Below are 19,259 nucleotides of genomic sequence, written 5' to 3'. Positions count from 1 at the left end.
AACATAAAATTATAGAAATTTATCACTGGATTGTATAAGGAGACCACTGTTATTTAGATAGGGACTACCAATTCTTTTTTAACTGGATCTCTGAGCTCTGGGCAGAGCCCACACTGAATCCTGGGTCTCCAAAAAGGGAGAATTATTATGAGGCTAGACCACATGATGCTTTTACAGTGCACTTAAAACATTTTTGTAAACAAAGCATTTCTAAGTGTCTAAACTATACTCTTTCTTAAAAACCCAAGAGTAGCCTCTGTTGCAATAACTATTTTAGTAAAAAAAAAAAAAAAAATCGAGTGGAAACAGAATTGAGTCAATTGAGAACAAAAAAAGTTTTTGCTCAAAAAAAGACAAGGTCCTAGCAGAGAAAAACAAAAACAAAACCATGAAGGCCTTTTAAATATGAACATGCACTTATGCACACATACACATACACATACATTTTAAATATTAGCTTTTAATTAAGTTGACTTTTAACTATTGAGTGTCTTTAAAAATAAAAAATCTTGGGCTGGGTGCAGTGGCTCATGCCTGTAATCCCAGGACTTTGGGAGGCCCAGGCGGGCGGATCATGAGGTCAGGAGATGGAGACCATCCTGGCTAACATGGTGAAACCCCGTCTCCACTAAAAATACAAAAATTAGCCGAGTGTGGTGGCACGCGCCTGTAGTCCCAGCTACTCAGGAGGCTGAGGCAGGAGAATCGCTTGAACCCGGGAGGCAGAGTTTGCAGTGAGCCAAGATCGTGCCACTGCACTCCAGCCTGGCGACAGAGCAAGACTCTGTCTCAAAAAAAAAAAATTCAAAATTTTATTATTATATTTCAGCTAGGACAAATTGCTGCTATTTCAGAAGTACCAAGTATTGGTCCGGCGCGGTGGCTCACACCTGTAATCCCAGCACTTTGGGAGGCCGACGCTGGTGGATCACCTGAGCTCAGGAGTTCGAGACCAGCTTGACCAACATGGAGAAACCCCATCTCTACTAAGAAATTCAAAAGGCACATGCCTATAATCCCAGCTACTCGGGAGGCTGAGGCAGGAGAATTGCTTGAACCCGGGAGGCGGAGGTTACGGTGAGCTGAGACCACGCCATTGGACTCCAGCCTGGGCAACAAGAACGGAACTCTGTCTCAAAAAAAAAAAAAAAAAAAAAAAAAAAGCAGAAGTACCAACTATCAAACCAGAAAGGACTTGATTTAGGAACCAAACTTAGGCTGTCATGAAGACAGGAGAAAAAAAAAGGCAGAACCTTAGCTATTGAACTGCAGAGTAGGGGGACAGCCATTGCTTTCAGTTTGGCCTGGTTAGCAAAAAGGAGGCTTTGTTATGTAAATAAAACCCCTTAAGTAATAAAAATAAAACATTTTTCTTGCCGGCCGGGTGCGGTGGCTCAAGCCAGTAATCCCAGCACTTTGGGAGGCCGAGGCAGGCAGATCACCAGGTCAGGAGATCCAGACCATCCTGGCTAACACGGTGAAACCCCGTCTCTACCAAAAAATACAAAAAAATTAGCCAGGCGTAGTGGCGGGTGCCTTAGTCCCAGCTACTCGGGAGGCTGAGGCAGGAGAATGGCGTGAACCCGGGAGGCAGAGCTTGCAGTGAGCCGAGATCGCGCCACTGCACTCCAGCCCGGGCGACAGAGAGCGACTCCGTCTCAAAAAAAAAAAAAAAAGTTTTTATTTATTTTTTTTCTTTTGTTGGCCGTTTTTCTCCCCTCACTATACCACCTTTTTTTGTGTATGGGAATTTAGCCACTTTAGAGGCCTTGTTCCTCATAATTTGGAACTTTCCTTCGGATTTGATTGAGTTGGACAGAGTTGGTCAAACCCAACGGGAGAAAGACTGAAACAACAAAAACAGAAACAAATAAACATCAACAACAACAAAAAAGTTAAGCAAAACAAACAATCTCACAACTTAACATAATTCCTGAGCACTGTAATGGTAAGGAGAAATAAAGACCAGCTGGTTTTTAATCTTAACTTTAGCCAAGATAAACCCCAATTCAGTTGCTTATCTAGGAATGGATCTCAGGCTGTAGACCACTCTCTACCATCCTAGAAGCAGAAAAACAAACAAAACAACAACAACAACAACAACAACAACAACAAACTCACCTTCCCTGTTGGAAGTGAGCTCAAACTCCATAAAGGAGTTACCTATCTTCCATCATCATGGAAGCAGGAAAACTTGCCTTTCTTGTTGGAAGCAAGTAAAACTCCAAAAAAAAAAAGTTGTATAGCAAAATAAACTTTAGATTTCAACCAAATTTGGGAAGATAGTAATTCTCTTGGTGGGGCGGAGGGGTGAGGGGTGGGTTGCTCTCAGACCTCAGCAAATTGTCCCATAGGTTTGAGCCATAAAGTAAGCTCATGCTGGTACCAAGCACCAATAGGTGCTTGTCAAATCTAGCTTGTCAGAGGCTAGATTTGTCAGAGGTGGGGAGCATTCCACTCAGAATCCCTTTATGGTTATTAAATATGGGCCCAGAATATCTGAGACGGGTCTCAGTTAATTTAGAAAGTTTATTTTGCTGGCCGGGCGCGGTGGCTCACGCCTGTAATCCCAGCACTTTGGGAGGCCAAGGTGGGCAGATCACCAGGTCAGGAGATCGAGACCATCCTGGCTAAGACGGTGAAACCACGTCTCTACTAAAAATACAAAAAATTAGCCGGGCATGGTGGCAGGTGCCTGTAGTCCCAGCTACTCGGGAGGCTGAGGCAGGAGAATGGCGTGAACCTGGGAGGCAGAGCTTGCAGTGAGCGGAGATCACATCACTGCACTCCAGCCTGGGCAACAGAGCAAGACTCCATCTCAAAAAAAAAAAAAAAAAGGTTTATTTTGCCAAGCTGAAGACGTGTGCTCATGACACAGACTCAGGAAGGCCTGAGGACATGTGCCCAAGGAGGTCAGGGCACAGCTTTGTTTTACACATTTTAGGGAGACATGAGATATCAATCAATATATGTAAGAAGTACATTGGTTTGGTCTGGAAAGGTAGGACAACTTGAAGCAAAGGCAGGAAAACTAAAAGCGGAAAAGGGATGTATTAGTCAGGGTTATCTTACAGGGATAGAACTAACAGGATATATATAAAGAGGAGTCTCTTAAGTATTAACTTGCACGATCATAAGTCCCACAATAGGCTGTATGCAAGCTGAGGAGCAAGGAGTGTCAGTCCGAGTCCCAAAACTGAAGAACTTGGAGTCAGACGTTCATGTTCAAGGGCAGGAAGCAGCCAGCACAGGAGAAAGATGTAGGTTGGGAGGCTAGGCCCATCTCTCCTGTTCATGTTTTTCTGCCTGCTTTATATTCACTGGAAGCTGATTAGATTGTGCCCACCAGATTAAGGGTGGATCTGCCTTCCCCAGCCCACCGACTCAAATGTTAATCTCTTTTGGCAACACCCACACAGACACCCCCAGGATGAATACTTTGCATCCCTCGATCCAATCAAGTGGACAGGCAGTATTAATCATCACAGAGGGCTTCCAGGTCACAGATAGGTGAGAGATAAACGGTTGCATTATTCTGAGTTTCTGATTAGCCTTTCCAAAGGAGACAATCAGATATGCATTTATCACAGTGAGCAGAGGGATAACTTTGAATAGAATGGGAGTCAGGTTTTGCCTTAAGCAGTTCCCAGCTTGAATTTTCACTTTAGCTTAGTGATTTTGGGGGCCCAAGATATTTTCCTTTCACAAAGGATACCCAAAAATGTGGAAGCGACTTCAGAAGTGGGTAACAGGCATAGGTTGAAACAGTTTGGAGGGCTCAGAAGAAGACAGGAAGATGTGGGTAAGTTTGGAACTTCCTAGGCACTTGTTGAATAACTTTGACCAAAAAGCTGATAGTGATATATGGACAATGACATCCAGGCTAAGGTGGTCTCAGATGGAGGTGAGAAACTTGATGGAACTGGAGTAAAGGTCACTCTTGCTATGCAAAGAGACTGGCGTCATTTTGCCCCTGCCCTAGAGATTTGTGGAACTTTGAACTTGAGAGTCATGATTTAGGGTATCTGGAGGAAGAAATTTCTAAATGGCAAAGCATTCAAAAGGAAGCAGAGCATAAAAGTTTGGGAAATTTGCAGACTGACATTTCAATAGAAAAGAAAATCTCATTTTCTGAGGAGAAATTCAAGCTGGCTGCAGGAAGTTGCATAAGTAATGAGGAGCCAAATGTTAATCACCAAGACCATGGGGAAAATGTCTTCATGTCTGCAGGGCATATCAGAGGTCTTCATGGCAGCCTCTCCCATCACAGACCTGGAGGCCTAGGAGGAAAAATTGGTTTCCTGGGCCAGGCCCAGGGTCCCCCTGCAGTTTGCAGCCTTAGGACTTGGTGCCCTGCAACCCAGCCACTCCAGCCATGACTAAAGGGGGCCAATGTACAGCATGGGTCATGGCTTCAGAGGGTGAAAGCCCCAATCCTTGCCAGCTTCCACATGGTGTTGGTCCTGCAGGTGTGCAGAAGACAAGAATTGAGGTTTGGAAACCTCTGCCTAGATTTCAGAGGATGTATGGAAATGCCTGGATGTCCAGGCAGAAGTGTGTTGCAGGGTGGAGTCCTCATGGAGAACCTCTGCTAGGGCAGTGCAGAAGGGAAATGTGGGGTCAGAGCTCCCATACAGAATCCCCACTGGGGTGCTGCATAGTGAATCTATGAGAAGAGAGCCACCATCCTTCAGACCCCAGAATGGTAGATCCACCAACAGCTTGCACTATGCAACTGGAAAAGCCACAGACACTCAACACCAGCTTGTGAAAACAGCCAGGACAAGGGGGTGTACCCTGCAAAGCCACAGGGGCAGAGCTGCCCAAGGCCTTGGGAGCCCACCTCTTGCACCAGCATGACGTGGATGTGAGACATCAAGTCAAAGGAGATAATTTTGAAACTTTAAGGTTTAATGACAGCCCTACTGGATTTCGGACTTGCATGGGGCCTGTGGCCCCTTTGTTTTGGCCAATGTCTCCCATTTGGAATGGGTGTATTTACTGAATGCCTATACCCCCTTGTATCTAGGAAGTAACTAGTTAGCTTTTAATTTTACAGACTCATAGGTGGAAGGAACTTAACTTGTCTCAGATGAGACTTTGGACTTGGACTTCTGATTTAGTGCTGAAATGAGTTAAGACTGTTGCCACGGCATGATTATGTGTTTTGAAATGTGAGGACATGAAATTTGGGAGGGGCCAGCGGTGGAATGACATGGTTTAGCTGTGTCCCCACCCAAATCTCATCTTGATTTGTAATGAGAGGTAGTTTAATCATGGGGGTGGTTACCCTCATGCTGTTCTCATGATGATGAGTAAGTTCTCATGAGATCTGATGGTTTATAAAGGGCTTTTCCCCCTCTTTGCTCTGCACTTCTCCTTGCCTGCTGCCATATAAAATGTGCCTTTGCTTCTCCTTTGCCTTCTGCCATGATTGCAAGGTCTCCTCAGCCATGTGGAACTGTGAGTCAATTAAACCTCTTTACTTTATAAATTATCCCATCTTGGGTATGTCTTTATTAGCAGCATGAGAACAGACTAATACAAATGGTTTAGCACCATCCCATGGTGATAAGTGAGTTCTTGCTCAGTTAGTTCGTGCAAGATCTAGTCATTTCAAAGGTTACAGCATCTCTCTCCTTTCTCTCTTGCTCCCACTCTCACCAAATAATGTGCCTGCTCTCACTTCACCTTCCCCCCCATGAATAAAAGCTAAAAGCTCCCTAAGGCTTCACAGAAGCCAAGCAGATGCCAGCATTATGCTTGTACAGCCTGCAGAACTATGAGCTAATTAAACCTTTCTTTATAAATTACCCATATAGCAATGCAAAAATGGCCTAACACAAGTGGTTATGAGATCTGTGTCAAAAATCATTTGACCGTATTTGTGAGGGTTTAATTTTGGGCACTTTATACTATTCCATTGGTCTATATGTCTGTCTTTCTGCCAGTAGCACACTACTTTGATTCTTATAGCTTTAGTTAAGTTTTGAAAAGAGGAAGTATGAATCCTCCAGCTTTGTTCTTCTTTTTCAAGGTTGTTTTGGCTGTTTAGAGTTCTTGAGATTCCATATACATTTTAGGATGGATCTTTCTATTTCTGCAAAAATACATCATTGGTATCTGGATCGTGATCACATTGAATCTGTAGATTGCTTTGAGTAGTGTTGGCATCTTAAGTCTTCCAATCCATGAACACAGACTGTCCTTCCATTTATTGATGTTTTCTTTAATTTCTTTCAGGAACATTTTGTAGTTTTCAGTGTACAAGTTATTTGCCTTGTTGGTGAAGTCTATTCCTAAGTATTTTTATCATGCCATTGTAAATGGAATTGCTTTCTTAATTTTCTTTTCAGATTGTTTATTGTTGGTGAATAGAAAAGGAACTGATTTCTGTGTATTGATTTTTTCTGCAACTTTTCCAAATTTGTTTATTCATTCTAATAAATGTTTGTGAAATCTTTAGGGTTTTCTATGTATAAGATCATGGCAGCTGCAAATAGAGATAATTTTATGTCTTCCTTTCAAATTTGAATGAGCATATTTCTCTTTCTGGCATAACTGCTCTAAGACTTCTAGTACTATCTTGAATAGAAGTGGTGAAAGCAGGCATCCATGTCTTGATCCTAATCTTAGACAAAAATCTTTTAGTCTTTCATCCTTATGTTGGTTTTCATTTTTCAAATATGTTTTTCATTATGTCTATCTAGTTTCCTTCTATTCCTAGTTTGTTGAGCATTTTTATCATGAGACAGTATTGAATTTTGTCAAATGCTTTTTCTGCATCAGTTGAGATCAGTATGGGCAACAAGGAGACCTTGTCTATACTAAAAAAAAAAAAAAATAGCCAGGCATGGTGGCACACCTATAGTCCCAACTCCTGGGGAGACTGAAGGACGAGGCTTGCCTGAGCCCAGGAGGTGGAGGCTGCAGTGAGCTATGATCAAGCCTCTGCACTCCAGCCTGGGCAACAAAGTGAAACGCTGTCCCAGAAACAAAAACAAACAAACAAAAAGAGATGAGGATTATGTGGTTTCTGTCCTTCATTCTGTTAATGTGCTGTATTACTTTGATTTTCATATGTTGAACCATGTCAGCATTCCAGCGATAAATCCCGCTTGATTATGGTGTATAATCCGTTTTTTTTTTTTTTTTTTGAGATGGAGTCTCGACTCTTTTTGCCCAGGCTGGAGTGCAGTGGCACAATCTCAGTTCACTGCAACCTCCCCGTCCCAGGTTCAAGTGATTCTCCTGCCTCAGCCTCCTCAGTAGCTGGCATTATAGGCAACTGCCACCAAGCACGGCTAATTTTTTTTTTTTTTTTTTTCTGAGATAGAGTCTTGCTCTGTCGCCCAGGCTGGAGTGCAGTGGTGCGATCTTGGCTCACTGCAAGCTCCGCCTCCCAGGTTCAGGCTGTTCTCCTGCCTCAGCCTCCCGAGTAGCTGGGACTAAGGTGCCCACCACCACGCCCGGCTACTTTTTCTATTTTTTAGTAGAGATGGAGTTTCACCGTGTTAGCCAGGATGGTATCCATCTCCTGACCTCGTGATCCGCCCGCCTCGGCCTCCCAAAGTGCTAGGATTACAGGTGTGAGCCACCACGTCTGGCTCTTTTTTTTTTTTTTTTTTTGAGATGGAGTTTCACTCCTGTTGCCCAGGCTGGAGTGCAATGGTGCGATCACGGCTCACCACAACCTCCGCCTCGTGGGTTCAAGTGATTCTCCTGCCTCAGTCTCCCAAGTAGCTGGGATCACAGGTGCATGCCCACCGGGCCCGGCTAATTTTGTATTTTTAGTAGAGATGGGGTTTCTCCATGTTGGTCAGGCTGGTCTCGAACTCCTGACCTCAGGTGATCCACCAGCCTCGGCCTCTCAAAGTGCTGGGATTACAGGTGTGAGCCACCGTGCCCAGCCTAATTTTTGTATTTTTAGTAGAGATGGAGTTTTGCCATGTTGGCCAGGCTGGTCTCAAACTCCTGACTTCAGGTGATCCACCTGCCTCAGCCTCCCAAAGTGCTGGGATTATAGGCGTGAGCCACTGCACCCGACCGGTGTATAATACTTTTTTAAATGTTTGATTCAGAACCAGGCATGGTGGCTCACACCTATCATCTCAGCCCTTTGGGAGGCCGAAGCAGGAGGATTGCTTGAGCCGAAGAGTTTGAGACTAGCCTGGGCAACATAGCAAGACCCCATTTCTACAAAAAAAAACAAGAAATTAGCTGGGCGTGGTGACAGGCAGCTAAAGTCCCAGTGACTTGGGAGGCTGAGGGAAGGGGATAACTTGAGCCCAGGAGTTCAAGGCTGCAGTGAGCTATGATCACACCACTGCACTCCAGCGTGCTGACAGAGCAAGACTGTCTTTAATAAATAAATAAATAAATAATAAAAATCTGTAAATGTTAGTTTCAGTTTGTTATTATTTTGTTGAAGATTTTTGCAGCAAAATTTATAAGGGATATTGGTCTGTAGTTTTCTTTCTTGTAGTATCTTTGCCTGACTTTAGTGTAAGGACAATTCTGGCCTCATAGAATCAGTTAGGAAGGGTTCCCTCCTTTTCACATCTTTGAGAAAACTTGGGGTTGATTTTTCTCTTTTTCTTTTTTTTTTGAGACGGAGTCATTCTCTTGTCGCCAGGCTGGAGTGCAGTGGCGCAATCTCGGCTCACTGCAACCTCCGCCTCCTGGGTTCAAGCGATTCTCCTGCCTCATCCTCCCGAGTTGCTGGGACTATAGGCGTGCACCACCACGACCGGCTAATTTTTGTATTTTTGGTAGAGACGGGGTTTCACCATGTTGGCCAGGATGTCTGGATCTCTTGACCTTGTGATCTGCCCACCTCGGCCTCTTAAAGTGCTGGGATTACAGGCATGAGCCACCGTGCCCAGCCGATTTTTCTTTAAATATTTGGCTGGACACAAATCTGGTCCAGGGAAGTTTTTGATTGTTGATTCAATCTCCTTCCAGTTATGTCTGTTCCAATTTTCTATTTCATTATAAATCAGTCTTGGTAGGTTGTGTGTTTCTAGGAATTTGTTCATTTTAGCTAGATAAATGTGTTTTTTTGGCATACATTTTTTCATAGTACTCTCTTCTAACCCTTTTTATTCCTGTAGAATCAGCAATAATGTCCCACTTTCATTTCTGATTTTAGTAATTTGAGGATTCTTATTTTTTAATAAATCAAGCCAAAGATTTCTCCATTTTGTTAATCTTTTCAAAGAATCAACTTTTGGGCTTATTGATTTTCTTTACTGTTTTCCTATTCTCTTTTTAAAATAATCTCTCCTCTATTTTTTTTTATTTCCTTCTTTCCGCTACCTTGGATTTAGTTTATTCTTCCTTTCCTAGTTTCTTAATGTGTAGATTGTTTATTTTAGGTCTTTTTTCCTTTTTGATATAAGCATTTACCATGATAACATTTCCTCTTAGCACTGCTTTTACTGCATCCCATAAGTTTTAGTATGTTGTGTTTTTTGCTTCACTTATCTCCAGATCTTTTCTAATTTCTTGTATGAGTTCCTCTTTGACTCGTTGGTTATTTAAAAGCTTGTTGATTTCTACATGTTTGAGGAGTTTACTCTTTTCCTTCTGATACTGATTTCTAGTGTCATATTGTGATCAGAAGAGATACTTTCAGTTATTTTAAATTTATAAAGAATTACTCTGTGGTCTAACTTATGGTTTATCCTGGAGAATATTCCATGTATCTTTGAGAAAAATTGTATGCTTCTGTTTGTGGTGAACTGTTTTCTATGTCTTTTAGTTTCCATTAGTATATAGTGATGTCCAAGTACGCTACATCCTTATTGATCTTCATTCTGATGGTTCTGTTTTTGAAAGTGGGACAATTGAAGTCTCCAACTATTATTATAGTAGTGCAAATTTCTGCCTTCAATTCTGTTTATTTCCTGTATTATGAACATGATGGATTGGATAAAAGGAATTTAGTGAAACAGAACTTTTAGTAGGAGGTTTTATTTCTGACTAGGAGTTACGGAGTGTTTACTGTGTGCTGTAGCTATTGTTGTCATAGACTAAAATTTCTTTTTCTTTTCCTTTCTTTTTTTGAGACGGAGTATCCCTCTGTCGCTCAGGCTGGAGTGCAGTGGCTCGATCTCTGCTCACTGCAACTTCCACTTCCTGGGTTCAAGCAGTTCTCCCGCCTCAGCCTCCTGAGTAGCTGGGATTACAGGCATGCGCCACCATGTCCGGCCAATTTTTTTTTTTTTTTTGTATTTTTAGTAGAGACGGGGTTTCAGCATGTTGGTCAGGCTGGTCTCAAACTGCTGACCTCGTGATCCGCCCGCCTTGGCCTCCCAAAGTGCTGGGATTACAGGTGGGAGCCACCGTGCCCGGCCGTCATAGGCTAAAATTTCCTCTGTTGTCTTTTTTTTTTTTTTTTTTCCTTTTTTGTCTTCCCTATTGTCTTTGGATTTTCTTTAAGATTTCTTTGTAAATAAGGTCTGAGACATTCCCCATTTCACTTTCTTCCACTCTCTTCTCCCCTCCTACCTTCTTTCTCCTAATTATCCTAAGCATTTTATTCCCCAAACTAAAAATACAGGTTCTTGGGGATAGAATTATTATTTTTTTCTTTTTTTTGAGACGGAGTCTCGCTCTGTCACCCAGGCTGGAGTGCAGTGGTGCAATCTCGGCTCACTGCAAGCTCCACCTGCCGGTTTCATGCCATTCTCCTGCCTCAGCCTCCCGAGTAGCTGGGACTACAGGCACCCGCCACCATGCCCGGCTAATTTTTTTGTATTTTTAGTAGAGACAGGGTTTCACCGTGTTAGCCAGGATGGTCCCGATCTCCTGACGTTGTGATCTGCCTGCCTCGGCCTCCCAAAGTGCTGGGATCACAGGCGTGAGCCACCGCGCCCGGCTGATAGAATCATTTTTAATAGGCTCTGCCAAATCACATTTTATTACAGTTGTTTTACTGTCTCCCTACTAGTGTGCAAGTCCCCTAGATCAGGTACTGCAGATTTTAATCTTTGCATACATTTTGCCTGGTATGTAATCAATTTTCGATAAATACTTGTGAAATTATTGTATGCAGGAGCTCATAAACATTTTCTGTTATTGTTACTCTTCATTAGATAACTCACTCCTGGCCGGGCACAATGGCTCACGTCTGTAATCCCAGTAATTCTGAAGGTTGAGGCAGGCTGATCACTTGAGCTCAAGAACTCAAGACCAGCCTGGGCAACACAGCAAAACTTTGTCCCTAGAAAAAGTACAAAAATTAGCTGGGCTTGGGGGCCCATGACTGTAGTCCCAGCTACTCAGGAGGCTGAGGTGGGAGGATCTCTGGAGCACAGCAGGTCGAGGCTTCAATGAGTCATGATTGCACCACTGCACTCCAGCCTGGGTGACAGAGTGAGACGCTATCCCAAAAAACAAAAGCCAAACCATAAAAACCTCATTCTTCTAGGTAGAGTTTCTGTCTTCACAGTGGTTTTTAATGCTGATTCATAATAGAATCTCTTTTAAGGAGCTACAAAATATATGTTGGGTCTACAGAAAAGATTGTTGACATGAGTGGAAGATAAGCTATTTCAGCATACATATGATAACTATAAACAAGAACCAAATGGACATTTTAGAACCGAAAATTCCACTCTCTGAAATGAAAAATTTATTTGGACTTTCTTAAGAGAGATTGAACATTACAGAAGAAAGAATGAGTGAACTTGAAAAGAGATCAATAGATATCATTCCATCTGAAGTGCAAGGGAAAATGAAACTGAAAGAAAACAAGGAAGCGAGTCTCCGTGACACGTGGTACAATATCATGCAGTACACACGGAACCAGAACCAAGAAGAAATGGCTGGAAAAGATGAAAGAAAAAAAAAGTTGATATAGTCTCAAATGTAGTGAAAAAACATCAACTTATAGATTCAAAAAGTTCATAAACCCCTCATAAAAATAAATGTAAAGAAAACCCTACCTGGACACATCATAGTCATCATACAGAGCAAATTTTGTGCATTCACAGGTAACAAAGATATGAACGACAGCTGACTCAAAACAATGGAGGCTCAGGATGTGTGAAATGGTGAAAGAAAGCTGTTGACTCACTATTCACACTCATTGAGAATATCCTTTAAAAATAGTAAGTGAAGACGTTGTGGCAGGTTGAACTTTCCAAATTTCACCACAACAACAAATGTAACCAGAATAAACAATCCAATTAAAAAGCAGAGTTTCCCCAACTAGGAAAAAAAAAAGCAAGCTGAAATTATTAACTGTCTAAAATATATGCACCTTAAATATAAAGCTTCAGATAGATTGAAAGTAAAAGATGGAGGCCGGGCATGGTGGCTCATGCCTGTAATCTCAGCACTTTGGGAGGCCGAGGTTGGCGGATCACTTGAGGTCAGGAGTTCAAGACCAGCCTGGTCAACATGGTAAAACCTCATCTCTGCTGAAAATACAAAAATTAGCTGGGCATGGTGGCAGGTGCCTGTAATCCCAGCTACTCGGGAGGCTGAGGCAGGAGAATCATTTGAACCCGGTAGGCGGAGGTTGCAGTGAGCCAAGATGGTGCCTCTGCATTCTAGCCTGGGCAACAGAGCAAGACTGTCAAAAAAACAAAAAAAGAAAAATCAATGAAGTCACAGACAATCTGAAAAAATTATCAACCACCTTGACCTAATAAACATTCATAGAATACTATACCCAACAACTGTAGAATGTTCATTCTTTTTGAGTGCACATAGTATGTTTACTAAGGTAGACCCTATTCTGGGCCTACGAAGAGTCTTAATAAATTTAAAAGGATTGAAATCATACAGAACACTTTCTTTAGTTGCAGTGAAATTGAATTAGAAGTCAATAAGAAATACAAAAAAGACTTTCATATTTGCAGTTTAAACCACCATGGGTCAGAGGAGAAAGCCTGTAGAAATCAGAAAATATTTCAAACTAAATGATGATGCAAAATATCAAAATTTGTAGGACATAACTACAGAAGGACATAGAGAGTATGAGTGCTCGTATTAGTAAACAAAAAAGGATAGAAATCAATGATCTAGGTTTCCACTTAAAAGCTAAAGAAAGAAGAGCAGGCTGGGAACAATGGCTCACTCCTGTAATCCCAGCACTTTGGGAGGCTGAGGCGGGCGGATCATAAGGTCGGGAGATTGAGACCATCTTGGCTAACGTGGTGAAACCCTGTCTCTACTAAAAATACCAAAAAAAAAAAAAAAAAAAAAAATTAGCCAGGCGTGGTGGCAGGCGCCTGTAGTCCTAGCTACTCGGGAGGCTGAGGCAGGAGAATCGCTTGAACCTGGGAGGCAGAGGTTGCAGTGAGCCAAGATCACGCCACTGCACTCCAGCCTGGGCGACAGAGTGAGACTCTGTCTCAAAAAAACTAGAAAAAAAAAAAGAGCAATATAAACCCAGAATAAGTATAAGAAAGGCAATAATGAGAGAAAATCTATAGAATAGAAAACAGAAAAACCCTGAAAGTAATAAAGTTAACACAGACATTATGGCTATTTGAAAAGAATAATAAATCATTAGCGAAACTCATCAAAGAGAGAGAGACAAAACTAAGTTATCAAAATAAAAGAGAGGACATCACTATGATTGCTAAGGATAATAAGGGAATATTGTGAGCAACTTTATGCCAATATATTTAAGAACTCAGATAAAAGAGACAAATGACTTGAAAATTTTTACTTGCCAAAAGAGACATATAAAATAATAGAAAATCTGAAAAACTCATATCTATTATAGGATTTGAATTTATTATCAAAAACCTTCAGACACATACATACCCCAAAAGAAAAACAACAAAAATTATCACCAAGTCCAGATGGTGTTACTGGTGAATGGTATCAAACATTGAAAGAAGAAATAATGCTAATCTTATAAGACTCTCAGGAAACTGAGTTTATTTTATAAAGCCAGAATAATGAGTATACCCAAACTTAGAAAGACATTACAGAAAAAGACAATGATAAATCAATATCTCTCATGAATACAGACACAAAAATATGCTTAAGAAAGTATTAGCAAATCAAACCTAGCAATATGTAAAAAAGATAATACATCATGACAAGTGAAATTTGACCCAGGAATTCAAGTTAGATGCAACATTTGAAAGTCAATTTGATTAAACATTTGAATAGCATAAAAGAGAAAAACAATATAATCATCTCAATAGACGCCAAAAAATAACATTTGATACGTTTCAAAGTGTCAAACGTTATTGTTTATTGTTATATTTCACATTCTATTAATGGTAAAAACAGCAAAGTAGAAATGAAAGGGAATTTGATCTGGTAAAGGGCATTGTCTCACTCCATTTCCTGCTGCTATAACCAAATACCACAGACTGGGCAACTTATAAAGAAATTTATTTCTTACAGTTCTTGAGGCTGGGAAGTCCAAGAGCATGAAGCTGTCCTCTGGTGAGGGTCACCACACAACAGAAGAGCAGAAGGCCGAAGCAGGCCTAGGTGAGAGAGAGGGAGGAAATCATGCCAAACTCATTATTTTTTATCAGGAACCCACTCACATGAAAATTAACCCAGTCCTGAGACAATAGCGTTAATCCATTCATGAAGATGGAGCCCTCATAAGCTAAATCACCTCTTAAAGGCCCCACCTCCCTGGTCAACATGGTGAAATCCCGTCTCTACTACAAATACAAAAATTAGCTGGGTGTGGTGGTGGTGCGTGCCTGTACTGACAGCTACTGGGGAGGCTGAGGCAGGAAAATCGCTTGAACCCAGAGACAGAGGTTGCAGTGAGCCGAGATCGCACCACTGCAGTCTAGCTTGGGCAACACAGCGAGACTCATCTAAAAAAAAAAAATTGGCGGGCATGGTGTCTCAAGCCTATAATCCCAGCACCTTGGGACGCCAAGGCAGGCAGGTTGCCTGAGCTCAGGAGTTTGTGACCAGCCTGGGCAACACGGTGAAACCCCGTTTCTACTGAAAATACAAAAATTAGCCAGGCACGGCAGCATGTGCCTGTAGTCCCAGCTACTGGGGAGGCTGGGGCAGAAGAATTGCTTGAACCCAGGAGGTGGAGGTTGCAATGAGCCGAGATCAGGCCACTGCACTCCAGCCTGGGCGAAAGAGTGAGACTCTGTCTCAAAAAAAAAAAAAAAAAAAAAAAAATTCAACATGAGTTTTGGAGAGGACATTCAAACTACAGCAGGCATCTATGAGGAAACTATAACTAACATCATATCTAATGGTGATTAATTAGATGTGTTCTAAGATATGGAATAAGATAAGCATGTCTGCTTTAACTATTTCTATTTAACATTGTACTGGAAATCCTATCCAGGGCAATTCAGCAACAAAGATGAATAGAAGGTATAAAGATTGGAAAGGAAGAACTGAGACAGTTTTTGGTTACTGACAATAGGATTGCTTACATAGAAAATCCTAAATAATCTATAAAATAACAACTAGAAATATATCAATTTAGCAGTACCATAGCATACAAGGCCGATGGACAAAAATCAACTGTATTTCTGTATAGTTGCAACAAACAATTTGAAAATAAGGGAAGCTAAATCAATTCCATTAGCAATAGTAACAAAAATAGTTAGAAATATGTTTACAAAAGATATGAAAGATTTGTACATGGAAAGTTTGCAAAATATTGTCAAGCTTAAGTAACAAATATCTAAATAAATAAATTTCATGGATTGAAAGACTCAAAATTGTTAAAATGTCAATTATTCTCATTCATCTCTACATTCAATGCAATCCCAATTAAAATTCCAGTAGGCTTTTTTAACTGAAAAAAATTATTCTATATTTAATATATACGGAAATGCAAACCATTTGGGAGGTGGGTAGTAGGGGGAGGACTTGAACTGCCTGATTTCAAGACTGACTATACAGCTCATAATTAGGACAATGTGGTAATTAGCATGAGAATAGCCAAATAAATAAACGGAACAGAATAGAGTCCGGAAATGGACACATACATATATATGGTCAATTTAATTTCAACAAAAGTGATAAGGCTATTGGATAAGGAAAAAAAGTCTTTTTTTTTTTTTTTTTTGAGACGGAGTTTCCCTCTTGTGGCCCAGGCTGGAGCGCAATGGCTCCATCTCGGCTCCCCGCAGCCTCTGCCTCCCGGGTTCAAGCGATTCTCCTGCCTCAGTCTCCCGAGTGGCTGGGATTACAGGCATCCGCCACCACGCCCCGCTAATTTTGTATTTTTAGTAGAGGCTGCGTTTCTCCATGTCGGTCAGGCTGGTCTCGAACTCCTGACCTCAGGTGATCCGCCCGCCTCGGCCTCCCAAAGTGCTGGGATTACAGGCGTGAGCCACCGCGCCCGGTCGAAAAGAGTCTTTTCAACAAATGGTACCGGAACACCATTAAAATATGGAGAAAAATGAACATCAATCAGCGCCCCCTTTCTCTTACCCACTCCTCAGCCCCAAGGTCGCCCTGGGAGTTCTTCGCAGGCAGGACCGTGACTCGCGTGGCTTTCGGGAGGCTGATTACCCACGCCCCATGCCCGTGCAGCGCTGGGTGCAGAGGAACCGCTGGAAGGACCTGTCCCCCGTGGGACCCCCACCAAGTCTCATCCCGTGTCATGTGCCAGATAGTCTCCCGTGGTTTAAGGACTTTCAAGACTCTTAACAGGTTAGGAAAATCCAGAAGAAAGGCAGAATTGGGTCCCTCGGGCTTGCCTGACACCAGGGACGGTGGAGTTGAGGTGACATTTCACTGGCATGGAGACCTGAAACCAAAAGCAGGATGAGCCGGGCACGGTGGCTCACGCTTGTAATCCCAGCACTTTGTAAGGCCGAAGCGGGCGGATCACGAGATCAGGAGCTCGAGACCAGCCTGGCCAAAACAGTGAAACCCCCGTCTCTACTAAAAATAGAAAAAAAATTAGCCGGACGTGGTGGCGGGCACCTGTAATCCCAGTTACTCAGGAGGCTGAGGCAGGAAAATCGCTTGAACCTGGGAGGCGGAGGTTGCAGTGAGCCGAGATCGTGCCACTGCACTCCAGCCTGGGCGACAGAGCTTGACTCCATCTCAAAAAAAAAAAAAAAAAAAAAAGGCAGGCTGAATCACTCGCCCGGTAGTGACGGAGGAGGCCGTAAAAGCCTCTTAGAGGCCAGACCCCGCAGTGGCCTCTGTGTCCTTCATTCCGCCACCCATCCGTCCACCGAGCGCCTGCTGGGTGCCAGGAACTGGGTCACAGAAAGGCTGAGGTCAACTCCCGACCGAGAAGCCTGGCGCTGGGACCAAGTGGCAAAACGACTCCGAATGCAGCGGCATCCACGCGGCGGCCGTGGTTGAGGAACAGAAGCTGAGAGCGGCAAGGGCGGTCACAGAGGAAGGAAGTTCAGGGTTAGCCAACAGGAGCCGCAGGTGCCCCGAAAAGGGGGCGGGGTCAGGGGTGCCCTGAACTCCGAATGCGAAGTTCTGTCTTGTCATAGCCAAGCACGCTGCTTCTTGGATTGACCTGGCAGGATGGCGCCACCACCAGCTAGAGTACATCTAGGTGCGTTCCTGGCAGTGACTCCGAATCCCGGGAGCGCAGCGAGTGGGACAGAGGCAGCCGCGGCCACACCCAGCAAAGTGTGGGGCTCTTCCGCGGGGAGGATTGAACCACGAGGCGGGGGCCGAGGAGCGCTCCCTACCTCCATGGGACAGCACGGACCCAGTGCCCGGGCCCGGGCAGGGCGCGCCCCAGGACCCAGGCCGGCGCGGGAAGCCAGCCCTCGGCTCCGGGTCCACAAGACCTTCAAGTTTGTCGTCGTCGGGGTCCTGCTGCAGGTGAGTCCCCACCGCGGTCCTGCCTGGGGAAAAGCGCGCCTGGCACCGGGAGGGGGCAGAGAGAGAGGGGGACGCGGCGGGGGTGCCTGGCCCGGGTCACTTGTGGCGGGGCATGTCCGGGCAGGAGGAGCCCGTCGTCGGAGTCGGAGGAAGAACGGGGTCCCCGGGGCCAGGCAGGAGCGACCCGGGCCTGGAGGCAGCAGAGCCCCCTCCCGCAGGAGGCTGGGCCCGGGGACTCCACCCCGTTGGCTGCTGCCTGGCGCGTCTCCCTCCTGCCCACACCTCACGATGTATCGGGAAGTTTCGGAATCGATAGAGCTCAAGTGTGTAAACTTCCAAGCCAACTCCCAGCCACACCAGCTGCGTGAAGGGGAGCGCCATTCTCCCCACTCCCTGATTCCCTCCCCACCCCCGTCCTTCTTTTCTTCTCTTCTTTTTTTTTTTTTTTTTTTTTTTGAAACGGAGTCTCTCTCTGTCGCCCAGGCTGGAGTGTAGTGGCGCGATCTCGGCTCACTGCAAGCTCCGCCTTCCTGGTTCAAGCGATTCTCCTGCCTCAGCCTCCCGAGTAGCTGGGAGTACAGGCTCCTGCCACCACGCCCGGCTAATTTTTTGTATTTTTAGTAGTCACGGGGTTTCACTGTGTTAGCCAAATCCGCCCGCCTCGGCCTCCCAAAGTGCTGGGATTACAGGCGTGAGCCACCGCGCCCGGCCCTCCATCCTTCTTTTCTTAGACAAATTGGTTAAACACGCAGCCCGGCAGGAAAAAGTAACTTTCTCTCCTCTGCTCGTTGTCTTCCGTTTCGAGTCCACTGAGCACACCGGCAGCAGTTTCCTTCCAGCCACTTTCTTGCGCATCAACAGGTACAGGGCAGCGAATTGACCACCACGAGGCAGGCAGCCAGGAGCGGGGCACGCCCTTCCTTCAGGAGGCAGCGTTTCCTGTGAAAGCAATCACTCAGTCTGGAAAAATGCCAATGCCTTCAGTTCTCTTTCAAGTTCATTAAGGCTCTACCAATTGTTCTCATCCAGATTCCTTCTATGTTAAGGAAAAACAAAACGAAAGCTAAGTACCTGAAGGATAAACCAGTCTTACAAGTGTCAGGAAATTTTACGTGTTTTTGTTTAACAAACTAAACAAAATCCAGGAATCCAATAGCATTTTGAAATCTCCAAATAATTACAGAATTTATGTTTTAAACGTCAGTTTATGTTAGGTGGAACCCACGTTTGACTCTTATTTTTAATACGCTTATTAAATGGCTTTCTTTTTGACAGGCTAGTGCGATTCCAGGTGGATGTAGGGCTCACCTGTATAGACAAGGTGAAACATCTGAATTTGGTGGTTTTGGAAATGTCACAGTCCGTTGGTGTGGCTATAAAAGAATACTTGAGGCCAGGCGCGGTGGCTCACGCCTGTAATCCCAGCACTCTGGGAGGCCGAGGCGGGCGGATCACGAGGTCAGGAGATCGAGACGATCCTGGCC

The 19,259-nt window shown here is 43.9% G+C and overlaps 1 protein-coding gene and 1 long non-coding RNA gene across 2 annotated transcripts in view, besides 10 other annotated features; one reads left to right on the top strand and one right to left on the bottom strand.

Annotated features, from left to right (window-relative positions):
* Window positions 1-11,604: 11,604 nt before the first annotated feature.
* On the bottom strand, window positions 11,605-17,310 carry TNFRSF10A-DT (TNFRSF10A divergent transcript). Its single transcript, NR_033928.1, has 3 exons — window positions 16,408-17,310; window positions 14,378-14,465; window positions 11,605-12,583 (listed from the first exon to the last, which is right to left on the bottom strand). It is a non-coding gene; the product is annotated as a TNFRSF10A divergent transcript (long non-coding RNA).
* Window positions 15,667-17,472: a promoter, noted in NCBI's record as "-1733/+63 promoter". NCBI's record gives the evidence for it as "EXISTENCE:reporter gene assay evidence [ECO:0000049][PMID:12082627]".
* Window positions 15,667-17,937: a biological region, named in NCBI's record as "TNFRSF10A 5' regulatory region". NCBI's record gives its function as "regulatory_interactions: TNFRSF10A".
* Window positions 16,038-16,061: a protein binding site, noted in NCBI's record as "NF-kB site III". NCBI's record gives its function as "positive regulation of promoter activity" and the evidence as "EXISTENCE:protein binding evidence [ECO:0000024][PMID:18421578]".
* Window positions 16,819-17,472: a promoter, noted in NCBI's record as "-596/+63 promoter". NCBI's record gives the evidence for it as "EXISTENCE:reporter gene assay evidence [ECO:0000049][PMID:12082627]".
* Window positions 16,901-17,937: a promoter, noted in NCBI's record as "pB-DR4/p53BS promoter fragment". NCBI's record gives the evidence for it as "EXISTENCE:reporter gene assay evidence [ECO:0000049][PMID:15289308]".
* Window positions 17,037-17,176: an enhancer, noted in NCBI's record as "active region_27112". NCBI's record gives its function as "activates an Ori minimal core promoter by ATAC-STARR-seq in GM12878 lymphoblastoid cells {active_cell/tissue: GM12878}" and the evidence as "EXISTENCE:reporter gene assay evidence [ECO:0000049][PMID:35858748]".
* Window positions 17,053-17,075: a protein binding site, noted in NCBI's record as "AP-1/I". NCBI's record gives the evidence for it as "EXISTENCE:protein binding evidence [ECO:0000024][PMID:12082627]".
* Window positions 17,228-17,419: a silencer, noted in NCBI's record as "fragment chr8:23082625-23082816 (GRCh37/hg19 assembly coordinates)". NCBI's record gives its function as "represses an EF-1alpha promoter that drives an FKBP-Casp9 reporter gene in an ReSE screen in phorbol 12-myristate 13-acetate-treated (for megakaryocytic differentiation) K562 erythroleukemia cells {active_cell/tissue: K562(+PMA)}" and the evidence as "EXISTENCE:reporter gene assay evidence [ECO:0000049][PMID:32094911]".
* Window positions 17,429-19,259, top strand: part of TNFRSF10A (TNF receptor superfamily member 10a) — a 34,651-nt gene continuing 32,820 nt past the window's right edge. Inside the window, exon 1 of the mRNA NM_003844.4 lies at window positions 17,429-17,775. Within this exon, the coding sequence (NP_003835.3) occupies window positions 17,470-17,775 (306 nt within the window). The 5' untranslated portion in view covers window positions 17,429-17,469. The remainder of the gene's footprint in view (window positions 17,776-19,259) is intronic.
* Window positions 17,587-17,836: a silencer, noted in NCBI's record as "silent region_19021". NCBI's record gives its function as "represses an Ori minimal core promoter by ATAC-STARR-seq in GM12878 lymphoblastoid cells {active_cell/tissue: GM12878}" and the evidence as "EXISTENCE:reporter gene assay evidence [ECO:0000049][PMID:35858748]".
* Window positions 17,858-17,937: a transcriptional cis regulatory region, noted in NCBI's record as "p53-BS region". NCBI's record gives its function as "mediates induction by tumor protein p53" and the evidence as "EXISTENCE:deletion mutation evidence [ECO:0005510][PMID:15289308]".

Source organism: Homo sapiens, chromosome 8 (genome assembly GCF_000001405.40).
Source record: "Homo sapiens chromosome 8, GRCh38.p14 Primary Assembly".
Lineage (NCBI taxonomy): Eukaryota > Metazoa > Chordata > Mammalia > Primates > Hominidae > Homo > Homo sapiens.
Note: the sequence above shows the minus strand (reverse complement) of the source record. Positions and strands in the feature narration are given on the sequence as shown.